This window comes from Homo sapiens, chromosome 18, assembly GCF_000001405.40.
Source record: "Homo sapiens chromosome 18, GRCh38.p14 Primary Assembly".
Classification (NCBI taxonomy): Eukaryota; Metazoa; Chordata; class Mammalia; order Primates; family Hominidae; genus Homo; species Homo sapiens.
In genome coordinates, this window is record NC_000018.10 from 60061987 (window position 1) to 60074903 (window position 12917).

Below are 12917 nucleotides of genomic sequence, written 5' to 3' on the forward strand. Positions count from 1 at the left end.
GCTGCAGACCGTGGAGCAAAAGGGAAAATGAAAAGCATCCTTGGCAAATGCAGTGTTGGGAACCAGAGACAGAGTAAGATGGCAGCATGACATTTCAGCTGTGTATATTTCACCCCTCAGTTCACCACCCACAGTTCCCAAGCCCTGTGCTAACATCTTTACATGTATTGACTTACAACAATCAATGAAATACATATATTATTATGCCCATTTCATCACCCCTTAACACCCATATAAATGCTTTCTCCAGATGATCTTCTTGTTTATCTTCTTGGTCCTCTTTTCTTTTCTCTTGTCTCCTTGTTCTTTTATTCACCTGACCTTTTAATTTTCTCTGATTCTTACCTGACTGAATCCTCAGGCCAGTATACTGACAACCTCTTGGACATGTGCTTTAGGACTGCTAACTGTGGCCCATATCAATTGTATTAGCCAGGGTCAATTATGGAAGCAAAAACCCTCTGAAGGTTATGGCTTAGAGATGTATTATTGGGATAAAACCTTACTGGCAAAGTGGGGAAATAAGGTTCCAAAGAGGGAATTGGAGGATCAAAGAAAAGTTGGTAACCAGCTCTGAAGCATGGCATGGGAGGACAAGTCAGAGCTTGCAAAAACTCTGGGAAGCCAGGCAGTTTTGCTGGGATGGGATCATGTTGCTTCTGTGTCTGGTGGTGGTTCTTGGGTCGCTCTTGAACACAGCCTGGCAACTGGGAAGAAGAGCTGAAGTGGAGGAGAGTGAGACGACCTGGAATCTATTGGTACCTCTGCTTTGTCTCTTGCTATATCTACCACATTGACCCTATGGAGTAATGGCTGCTACTTCACTTCTGGCATCCAAATCTCACTCAGAATTCCTTGTCAGCTAAGTCTAACTTACGGTTCTGATATGGTTTGGCTGTGTCCCCACCCAAGTCTCATCTTGAATTGTAGTTCCCATAATCCCCACGTGTGGTGGGAGGGACTCGGTGGGAGGTAACTTAATCCTGGGGGTGGTTTCCCCCATGCTATTCTTGTGATAGTGAGTAAGTTCTCACAAGATCTGATGATTTCATAAGGGGCTTCCCTCTTCACTTGGCTCTCATTCTTCTCTTCCTTGCTGCCATGTGAAAAAGGATGTGTTTGCTCCTTCTTTCACCATAATTGTAAGTTTCCTGAGGTCTCCCCAGCCCAGTGGAACTGTAAGCCAATTAAACCTCTTTCCTTTATAAATTACCCAGTCTCAGGTATGTCTTTATTAGCAGTGTGAGAACTGACTAATACAGATCCTATAGGGAAAGAGTTCTGGGAAGTTTGGTTTCAGCCCAGCCAAGTTGATGTAGTGCAAAGTACTACACTATTTGACTCTTATTTTTTCTCATCTCTAATTTTAATGCACCCAGAGCTCTAGGTAATAGATGCTCCTGTCCCCAGGCTTTGCCCTGTGGGACCCATACTCAGGCTATTCAGTAGGGAAATTGGGCAATGTGGTTCTGTTTATGAATAATGATTGTTATATAACTTATCTTGTTTTCCTTGATTCCTTGACTTCCAGGGAATTCAAATCAAACTTTTTTTGCCACCAAACAATAAGTATCTTAAGACTCTCCCACCTTTTTCTTTTTCAGTGCTTTCATCTTCATTATTCTTCTTCATAACATGGCTCCTGTTTATTTATTTCGCATATTTTAAAATAAACATTTAAATACATACATTAAGTATCTTTATATTTTAAAATGCTTTACTTTTTAAAGAGGAAACAATTACATAAATAAAATTTCCAAAAGTAGAAAGTGAATATACATTGAGAAGTCTCTCTCTCTCATTCCTGCCCCTATATATTGGGTTTTTGTTCCTGCATGCCTTGCTGATCTTGCCAGAGATTTTTCTTCTTTGAGACAGGTCTTGCTATGTCACCCAGGCTGGATTGTGCAGCCTTGAACTCCTGGGCTCAAGCTATCCTCCTGCCTCAGGCTCCTTATGCCAGAGATTTTTTAATGCATATAGAAGAAAACAGAAATTTATCTTATTTTCATCCCTTCTTTACATAAATGGTAGCATTCCAGGTACAGTGATCTATGCATTTTATTTTACATGTAACTATAAATATGTATACAACCATGAGAGATTTTTCTAAATAAATGCACATAAATACATAAGACCTTTCTCTTCTTTTGGGAGTAGATAGAATAGTAGATAATAGTAGATAGCAGAACCACAAATTGATGAATGATGAACCAACTATAAGCTATATTCCAAAGTTCAATCAAAATAATTACTGTGTCATCTGTTGTGTTGGATGGTATATATTATTACTTGCCTTCTTAATCCTCACAATGAAATTGGCCCCATTTTAAATTCTGGAATCAGTTTATTTACTCATTGCTTTAGGCTTACTCATCACCCCTCAGTTTACCACCCACAGTTCCCAAGTCAATCCTGAATGATGTGAAAACCATCTTCACATTAATGGTTAATGGTCTTGAATGACTCAATCTGCTGTAGGCACAATTGCCAGTGTGCCTGGGGTAAATCTGCAGAACCAAGGAAGCATAGGCTTTCCGTGTTGCTCATCCATGACTGAGATGCTGGCTCAGGCCCTCCATTTGTCCTCCAGTTAGTCCTCTCTTTAAGACTGGATCTCTGTCTTGAAAGCCTTCCATATTTTCCCCTAGTTAACTTTGACAATCTTTTTCTCAATGTTTGCCTGAATTATCTCTATATTTTCAGCTGTGTACTAGAATCCGGTTCAAAATAGATCCTCTTGGAATCACATTGTTTACAATCCCTTTCCTATGTCTTATCACTACATGGAAACTCTTGTTGCCATATCTCAGATAGTTGATTCAACCCCCCATGCACACTGCTAAGTTAAATCTAAATTCACTATTCCACTATGAATACTCTAGTGGAATCTTATTCACTATTCCACTATGAATTTAAATTCACTATTCCACTATGAATATTCTAGTTTGTACTATAATGATTTGAATGGAGAAATTATCACTAAAACTAGTTCAACAGCTGGGTGTGGTGGCAGTTACCTGTAATCCCAGCTACTCAGGAGGCTGAGGCAGGAGAATCTCTTGAACCTGGGAGGCAGAGATTGCAGTAAGCCAAGATTGCAGTACTGCACTCCTGCCTGGGCGACGGAGTGAGACTCCATCTTAAAGAAACAAACAAAAAACCAAACCCCCCCCCCCGCCAAAAAACCAAAAAAACCTGAAAACTAGTTCAAGTTCTCTGTTCTTGGTCTTCTAGATCTGTTTTCTTTACATTTTCCTTTTAGTCTGGCACACCATGAAACCAGGCACGCCTTACTCATCAAATTTGAATATGTGTTGTGTTTATTATTTTTGTGGATCAGACAGTAGAAGAAATATTGTTGAACAACCTAGTTGCATTAGGGTTAAATAAAAAATTTTAAAAGAATATGTAATTTTACTGACTTTGAAATCTGTAGAAAGTATTTCAAAGAGAAAAGTAAAACTAGCATAGAGTTGTTTCTCAGATCACTGGCCAATGAGTTGCAGGGTGGCTTTAATAATACTGGTGGACTCTTTCTTGGATTACAAAATTTTGACGATTACAGCTGGCTCTTCTCTGATTATACTTTCAAAGACATTCACTCTATTTCCTTTTAAATAATAGATGAACTGTATTAGAAAAGAATTACTCTGAAACTAAGGTACCTATTAATCCAGGGGTGTCCAATCTTTTTGCTTCCCTGGCCACATTGGAAGAAGAATTGTATTGGGCCACATGTAAGTAAAATACATATAACATTAATGATAGCTGATGAGAAGAAAAGATTGCAAAAAAATCTCATAATGTTTTAAGAAAGTTTAGGAATTCATGTTGGGCCACATTCAAAGCTGTTCTGGGCTGCATGTAGCCTGCAGGCCATGGGTTGGACAAGCTTATATAAATCAATTTCTTTTCCAAGTCTTTCAAAAACCTCACAGTCAAAGTGAGGTTCACCTCTTTTGACAACATCTTAAAAATAGAAACATTGTCAGACCTGGTGCAGTGGCTCAGACCTGTAATTCCAACACTTCGGGAAGCTGAGATTCGAGCCCAGGAGTTTGAAATCAGCCTGAGCAACATGGCACAACCCCATTTCTACAAAAACAAACAAACAAACAGACAAACAAAACACAAAAATACAAAAATTAGCTGGGCATGGTAGAGTGTGCCTTTAGTCCCAGCTACTAGAGGGTTGGCAGGGGTAGGAGGTTGTGCCGGGATGGGAGAATCCCTTGAGCCAGGAGGTCGAGTCTGCAGTGAGCAATAATCACACCACTGCACTGCAGCCTATGTGACAGAGAGGGACCCTGTCTCAAAAAAAAAAAAAAAAAAAAAAAAAAATTACATGATACATTTTAATTGCAGATAAATACTGTATCTGGCGGGCTTAAGTCTATCAACTGTTTATTGCACAAGAATAGCCCTAACTGATGAAATATTTATGTGGTATAGTCACAGATACTATTAAATAGGGATTTATTTTACAAGTAATTTAAACATCAGAATCATGAAATCAGAGATAGTAACATTACAGGAAAGGGGTCCGGGTCCAGACCTCAAAAGAGGGTTCTTGGATCTCGCACAAGAAAGAATTCAGGGAGAGTCAGTAAAGTGAAAGCAAGTTTATTAGGAAAATGAAGGAATAAAAGAATGGTTACTCCATAGACAGCAGGCCTGAGGGCTGATGGTTGCCCATTTTTATGGTTATTTCTTGTTGATATGCTAAACAAGGGGTGGATTATTCACGCCTCTCCTTTTTAGACCATAAATGGTGACTTCCTGACATTGCCATGGCATTTGTAAACTCTCATGGCCCTGATGGGAGTGTAATAGTGAGGATGACCAGAGGTACTTTCGTGGCCATCTTGGAGATTTAGCCGGTTTCTTTACTGCAACCTGTTTTATCAGCAAGGTCTGTATCTTATGCTGACCTCCTATCTCATTCCGTGATTTAGAATGCCTTTACTGTCTGGGAATGCAGCTCAATAGGTTTCAGCCTCATTTTATGTAGTTCCTATTCAAGATGCAGTTGCTGTTGTTCACATGCCTCTGACAGTAAGGACCAAGGATTTTAGTTGAAATGCAATAAAAGCACATGGCTCCATGCTTATATTTCACATTATCCTCTAATTAATTGTACATGAAGTTGGAGAATGATGTGTGGGAATAAATTGATCTACTTTGTGATTTTCCCTAAAATTTTAACTTAATTGTAGCTAACAGGTATTTTATCACATATACCATTTGTAGCAGACTGTTTCCTGTAATTATTCAAAATATGATTTCCCTCTTTATGCCCATAAAATGGAGAGATAAAAGTGATTTTTCTTAAAAGGAGGCTTAGAATGTACAAAAATGTACCTTTCTTATTCAGTGCTCTGAAAGGAGGCATTTTCTTCATTAACAGCATAAAATTATAATTCAAGGAGGAAATCTGATACAATGATTTAGAAGTAAAAGAAGCACATTGATTCTCCAAATCTTTAGCTTTTTGTTAGCACTCTTATAATTGCTGTTAAAAGAGCAATTTAGCTCTTAGAAGTGCTGGGAGATAATGCCTTTGTTAGCTGAGAGGCAGGAGAATGCAGTCAAATGGTGACTGTGAATTAGTCTAGGCAGGTTTCTGCTAGCAATCCGGGCTGTATTCAGGTCTGGCTTTGGAAACTCATTGCATCTCAGGTTGCCTATTCATTCACAGGGGAAGGTTGGCTTCATGGGGCAGCCGTGTTGGCACTCTTGGAAGATACAGCTGAAGTGCACGGGGCTTTTTCCTCCTAGGTGCTGACTGAGTGCAAAATTGCAGGCTGTGCTTGGACCACACAAATGCTCGTTCTCACAGCAACCTCTTGTGTGTTCTGAGTCTAGCTTCTATATAAAACCTCAAAGTGTGTGACTGAAATCCTGCTTGGGGAAGAGAAATGTCAAACAAAGATTACATGGAGAGAGTAATTTATAGAGTGGCTGCAGATGGGAGATGAATACAAGTGAGAGAGCCATCGTGGATTTCCTCCAAGGTTAGAAGTGATGACTCCGGAGATCAGACTCCAGGTCACCTGCTCTGCTCATTATGCGCTGGATCTGTCGGAGGCATCTTCTGTTGGAGGCTTAGTCACCTTCTCTTAGTCAAGTCAATAATTATTTTCTTCAATAGATGTTTTATATGCAACAGATAGTTTCTAAATGCCCAGCATTGAGATGGTTGCTGTTAGGAGATAACAAAGAAAAATCAGGTGCAGCATCTAATCTCAAGCATCTTGCAAGACTATTGAAGAGATAAGACAATTAAAATATATGAAAAGACAGCTTGTAATACAATATTTAAATGAAGTTGTGATAGATGGAGCACACCACAGGAATTTAAAGAGATAAGTGTTAGTTAGATGAATTTTTTTTTTTTTTTGAGAGGGAGTTTCGCTCTTGTTGCCCAGGCTGGAGTGCAAAGGCGTGATCTTACCTCACCACAACCTCTGCCTCCCAGGTTCAGGTGATTCTCCTGCCTTAGCCTCCCAAATAGCTGGGATTACAGGCATGTGCCAGCACACTCGGCTAATTTTGTATTTTCAGTAGAGACGGGGTTTCTCCATGTTGGTCAGGCTGGTCTTGAACTCCCAAGCTCAGGTGATCTGCCTGCCTCAGCCTCCCAAAGTGCTGGGATTACAGGTGTGAGCCACCATACCTGGCCTAGATGAATTTTAAGAGATGACTTTATGGGACTAACCTCTGTACTTTACAGGATGGATGGGATTTGTGTGTGAAGATGGGGTGAGTAAATAGGGTAGTTGGGTCAGCCCAGCCCTAGTTGCCCTGTTCCCACTTCCCCACATTCCAGCCCACTGATCTTGCCTCCTACGGACTCAGCTTTAACCCAGTTTCTGAGCCACTCTGAATGGGCCATTTCTGAACTTTTACCTGCTGCAAGACTCCCAGGTCTTTTTTGCTGCTGCTCAGCTACAGGATCCGATGCCTTGTTGATGACTAGAATGCTCCCTTATTTTAAGGTTCACATGTATTGTGGGTTAAATTATGCTTCCCCCTTTTGTCTGAATATGTTGAAGCCCTAACCCCCTGTACTAGTGAATGTGATCTTACAGAAATAAAGTCTTTGAAAATGTGATCAAGTTAAGATGAGGTCACAATGGATTAGGGTGGGCCCTAAATCCAATGACTCTTTCCTTACAAGGAAAAGAGAAATGGGGAACTTTGGACACAAAGATATGCAGAGAGGAAAACATCATATGAAGAGACAGAGTCACACAGGGGAGAAGGCCGTATGCAGATGGAGGCAGATTGGAGGGATGAAGCTACAAGTGAAGGAATGCTGGCTCCCACCAAAAGTGAGGACAGAGGGAAGGATCGTTCCCTAGAGCCAGTAGAGGGAGCCTGACCCTGTTAACAAGAAATTTTTGACTTCTAGTCTCCAAAACAATGAGGGAATAAATTTCTGTTGTTTTAAGCCACCTGGTTTGTGGTAATTTGTTATTACAGTCCTGGAAAACTCATGCACATAGATTTAGAAAACAAGAGCTGCTTGCAATTTTCTTCCAGCACTCACTTAGCTTACATAACCAGAACTTTGTTTTGGTGGCTGTTTCCAGTAATCATTTTATATAGCATTGATGCGATCAGGAATAATCAAAGCAATCAAAACAGTAGACTGGTTAAAATAATGGTAGTTTTGCATGTTCTCACTCATAAGTGGGAGTTGAACAATGAGAACACATGGACACAGGGAGGGGAACATCACACACAAGGGCCTGTCAGGGGGTGGGGGGCAAGGGGAGGGAGAGCATTAGGACAAATACCTAATGCATGTGGGGCTTAAAACCTAGAGGACAGGTTGATAGGTGCAGCAAACCACCATGGCACATGTATACCTATGTGACAAACCTGCACATTCTGCACATGTATCCCAGAACTTAAAGTAAAATAAAAAAATAAAAAAAAATGGTAGTTTATCTCTGCAGTGTTTGCTATGTAATCATTAAAATGAGGTAGAAAGAGATACTTCTTGTGGTGGAAATGACATACTTTTAAGTGAGAAAGGCAAGTTTCCAAACAGTATCTACTGTAATATTTGTACAAAAAGATATATAAAAGTTGAGTGTGAAAAAATATATATCAAAAGGTGAATTGTGGTTACCACTGGGTCACAGGATTATGGATATTTTCTATATTCTCACTTACTAATGTCAATGTTCTAATTTATGTAAAGAACATTTATTTATTGTATGATCCAAAGTCATTTTAAAAATTGATGGCAGATAAATGCAGTTTATGTTCAATTGCATCTTTTATGTGCTAAGCTTTTCTTTTCAGCTATGTTTTGAACACGATACTATCCTTTAAGTTGGACTGTGTTTTATTTTTGCAGCCACAAAATCAGAATATATGTTCTACTTGTAAATAAAGCAGAATCATTTTAATGGGTAAATGAGAAATATCAAATAGAAATATAAACATATTTGTCATTTGCTATTACTATTTAAATTCTGAACATTGTGAAATCTTTAAACAAAGTAAGTTTGGAGCCTCCCTATTAAATTAGATTATATATGTAACAATCCCTTCTCCCCTGGTGTTTCTTAGAAACCACTACAAATTAATTGTTCCTGAGCGTTGGCCTCTGGAATGCACTTCTGCGAAAACCTGATGTAAAAATCATTTCCCAAGTCCTTGACTTGGAATTTGAGTTTTTCTAAGACCTGGGCTCAATCTGCCTCCCATTATTTCTCTGCTGGAGGGAGCCCTATGCTCCAGCAGAGAAATAAATGGAGGTAGATTGAGCCTGGCAGGACTTCTGAACTTACTGTTCAATAACACACCTCTTGCATGTCCACATTCATGTTTGTTTATCTTACCACAGCCATGAATTTCCGTTTCATGTTTCTTTACCTCAGAGGTTCTTCTTCTCTTCTGAGTCATAGACATAATTGAAAATGTGCTGAATCTAGGCTCCTTCCTAGAAAAGTGCTCAGAAATGCTCACAAACGACTTCAGGGCCTTTCTACAATCCTTGAAGCTGGCTCGTGTTCCTGTGGATGCTGAGTTAGGAAGCCCTGAATGTGACTCCCATACATTGCAACCACTCAAGGTAGTCCCTTTTCCACCCTGAAGTCTCTTTCTTGTTAAGTTCAGACCACATTAATTCTTCCTCTTCATAATTCTTACCACTTATGTTTTGTAGGACTTATTTCTAATACTGTGCGTTATAAATTATGTTTGCCTTCGTTTTCTCCTTGGGGATGGAGACTCTATTATAACACTTTATATTACCTATAGTTTTTAGGAAAAACATACTAATAATAGGGTCACCCTAAATATTTGCTCATGCACAGTTGCCTTCACATGGGCTTTTTCTACAGTAAATTAGTTGTGTAATTTTCGAGGTTTTGTATATGATTTTAGGGTAAAGTCCAAATATTTGATAAATTTATAATTTAGCTATTCCCTTAGTACCATAGTACTAACATTTACATTAGAGGCAAATGGACCAGGTTTAACTCTGGCTTTGCCACTTAACAGTTTGATGAGCTGAACATTTTCTTAATTTCTCTTAATTTCTTTTCTATACATAAAGATAATAATACTTACATATTTTCCAGTGTAGTTGTGAAGATTGGATAGCTATTTAAGTAGATTATCACAGTAGCTCCCATGAAAGAGGCTCTGAAAAACATTAGCTATTGTAATTCTTATAAAATACTCTAAATTTCATTTTGCGTTATACAGTTGTTCTCTCAAGGAGAAAAAAGCACATTTGTTGTATTTCCAATATCACGTTTGAGGATAATGCTTATTTCCAAAATTTAAATTTTGTTTAGGTAATCTTTTGTCATTCTGGTTATTAAAACGTTCAGACAAGTTCTTGGTTTTCATATTTTTTGTTGAAAGGAAATTATTTTCTTCCCATCACCTGGCAAGAAATGAACATCATATTCACTTTAGTAAAAGAGACAGTATAACACAAGCAAAATAAGAAATGGGAATAAAAAGTGACTAAAACATATATTTTGTTAGCTTATTTCTAAATATTTCTGTCACCACTTTTTATTTTAGTTTCACAATTTATTAAAAAAGGAAAGACTATTAATTGAATATTGCATATAGAAGTTATGTTAGTCTGTTGCATTGTTATAAAGGAATACTTTGGACTGGGTAATTTATACTTGATCTTAGCCAAAAGGTGGAAAAGTGATGGACTGGGTAATTTATACAGAAAAGAGGTTTATTTGGCTCATGGTTCTTCAGGCTGTACATGAAGCATGGTGCTGGCATCTACTTCTGGTGAGGGCCTCAGGAAGCTGACAATCATGGCAGAAGGCAAAGGGGAACCAGTGTGCCACATGGTGAGAGAGAGAGCAAGGGGGTGTGGGAGGTGCCACATGCTTTTAAATGATCACATCTTCTATGAACTTAGAGTAAGAACTCACTCACTACTTCGAGCAGAGCACCAAGCTGTTCATGAGGGATCTGCCCCCATGACCCGAATACCTGCTACTAGGCCTCACCTCCAACATCGGAGATTTTAACATGATATTTGGAGTGGAAAAACATCAAACTATATCAAAAGTTAACATACCAATAAAGCTCATGGAGACCTTGAATATTACACTTTGTTGTTGTTGTTTTTGTAGCGCAACAGGTTTTTTTTACAGTAACAGTTTGGTTCCGTTATATAAACTAAACTTTGGAAGAACCCTTCAGAAATAGTTTAGTTATTTATTTTTTTATATTGTGCCACAAATGCTCTTCAGCATGCATGCCTTTCACTTTCCACTTGGGGGTTTCTTTGATGAAGACAGTGCGAGCTGGTCAACAATGTTTGCTTCTCAGAGTGTTGACTCAGTGTACTAGCCCAAATACAAGGACACAACCAATATGGAAAAACGACTTCACCCATGAGTCCTCATTGTCACTGTCAAATCTAACCTTTGAAACTACCATTATTTTTAAATTTTTTTATGCTTTTACTTTTATTTTTTTTTAATGTTTTAAAAGTATTTACTCTTTGCAGTGTTAATATTCCCTTTATATTGCTTTTTGTTTGCTTTCTTTTTTTTTCTTTTTAATTTAATTTAATTTTATTATTATACTTTAAGTTTTAGGGTACATGTGCACAATATGCAGGTTAGTTACATATGTATACATGTGCCATGCTGGTGTGCTGCACCCATTAACTCGTCATTTAGCATTAGGTATATCTCTTAAAGCTATCCCTCCCCACCCCCACCCCACAACAGTCCCCAGAGTGTGATATTCCCCTTCCTGTGTCCATGTGTTCTCATTGTTCAATTTCCACCTATGAGTGAGAATATGCGGTGTTTCGTTTTTTGTTTTTGCGATAGTTTACTGAGAATGATGATTTCCAATTTCATCCATGTCCCTACAAAGGACATGAACTCATCATTTTTTATGGCTGCATAGTATTCCATGGTGTATATGTGCCACATTTTCTTAATCCAGTCTATCATTGTTGGACATTTGGGTCGGTTCCAAGTCTTTGCTATTGTGAATAGTGCCACAATAAACATACGTGTGCATGTGTCTTTATAGCAGCATGATTTATAGTCCTTTGGGTATTTACCCGGTAATGGGATGGCTGGGTCAAATGGTATTTCTGGTTCTAGATCCCTGAGGAATCACCACACTGACTTCCACAATGGTTGAACTAGTTTACGGTCCCACCAACAGTGTAAAAGTGTTCCTATTTCTCCACATCCTCTCCAGCACCTGTTGTTTCCTGACTTTTTAATGATTGCCATTCTAACTGGTGTCCGATGGTATCTCATTGTGGTTTTGATTTGCATTTCTCTGATGGCCAGTGATGGTGAGCATTTTTTCATGTGTTTTTTGGCTGCATAAATGTCTTCTTTTGAGAAGTGTCTGTTCATGTCCTTCGCCCACTTTTTGATGGGGTTGTTTGTTTTTTTCTTGTAAATTTGTTTGAGTTCATTGTAGATTCTGGATATTAGCCCTTTGTCAGATGAGTAGGTTGGGAAATTAACATGTTAATTTCCAAACTTCAAGTTAACTGATTAACATTTCATTAACAAACTTCAAATTCACTGATTTGCATTTGTTCTGTATTCTCTATCATAAGAAATATCAAGGATTTTAATAAAATAAATTGGGTACAATTTTGATTTTCCAGGTAGGGCCTGTGGGACCAAATCAGAGTGACTGTCAATTCTCCTTTAAGTCTCTGTGGTGGATGATTTTGTGTGTCAGTTTGACTGGGTGACAGAGTGCCCAGACATTTGGTTAAACATTATTCTGGGTGTGTCTGGGAGGATGTTTCTGGAGGAGATAAACCTTTGGATCTGGTAGATTGAGTAAAGTAGATTGTGCTTCCTAAAGTGAGTGGACCTCATTCAATAAATTGAAGTCCTGAATAGATCAAAAAGAGTGAGTGAGAGGAAATGCCTCTTGCCTGACAGCCTTGAGCTGGGACACTGGTCTTTTTCTGCCTTCAAACTCAAATGGAAACATTGGCTCTCTTGGGGTATCTAGCCTGCTGGCTTTCAGACTGGAACCTTCACCATCAGCTCTCCTGATTCCCAGCCCTTCAGACTTGGACTAGAACCCACATCAGTTTTCCTCCATCTCCAGCTTACCAACTGCAGATCTTGGTACTTCTCAGCCTTCATGGTTGTTTGAGTCAATTTCTCATAATAAATCTGTTTCTCTCTATATACACATTTGGCCCTCCATATCCACAGGATCCACATTAATGGATTCAACCTACTGCAGTTCAAACATATTTTTAAAAAACAATAAAATATATAACAATATAGGGGGCTTCAAGATAGGCGAATAGAGGGATCTGGTATTCGCCTCCTCCACAAACAAGAACCAAAATAGCAAGTAAAATAGCACTTTGAATGTGTCATCTAAGAGATAACATTGGAGTTCAA

General features: G+C 38.7%; 2 annotated features.

The window, feature by feature from the left end:
* Window positions 4476–5012: an enhancer, noted in NCBI's record as "OCT4-NANOG hESC enhancer chr18:57733694-57734230 (GRCh37/hg19 assembly coordinates)". NCBI's record gives its function as "activates a minimal SCP1, AML or CMV promoter by ChIP-STARR-seq in primed H9 embryonic stem cells {active_cell/tissue: H9 hESC(primed)}" and the evidence as "EXISTENCE:reporter gene assay evidence [ECO:0000049][PMID:30033119]".
* Window positions 5332–5883: an enhancer, noted in NCBI's record as "NANOG hESC enhancer chr18:57734550-57735101 (GRCh37/hg19 assembly coordinates)". NCBI's record gives its function as "activates a minimal SCP1, AML or CMV promoter by ChIP-STARR-seq in naive H9 embryonic stem cells {active_cell/tissue: H9 hESC(naive)}" and the evidence as "EXISTENCE:reporter gene assay evidence [ECO:0000049][PMID:30033119]".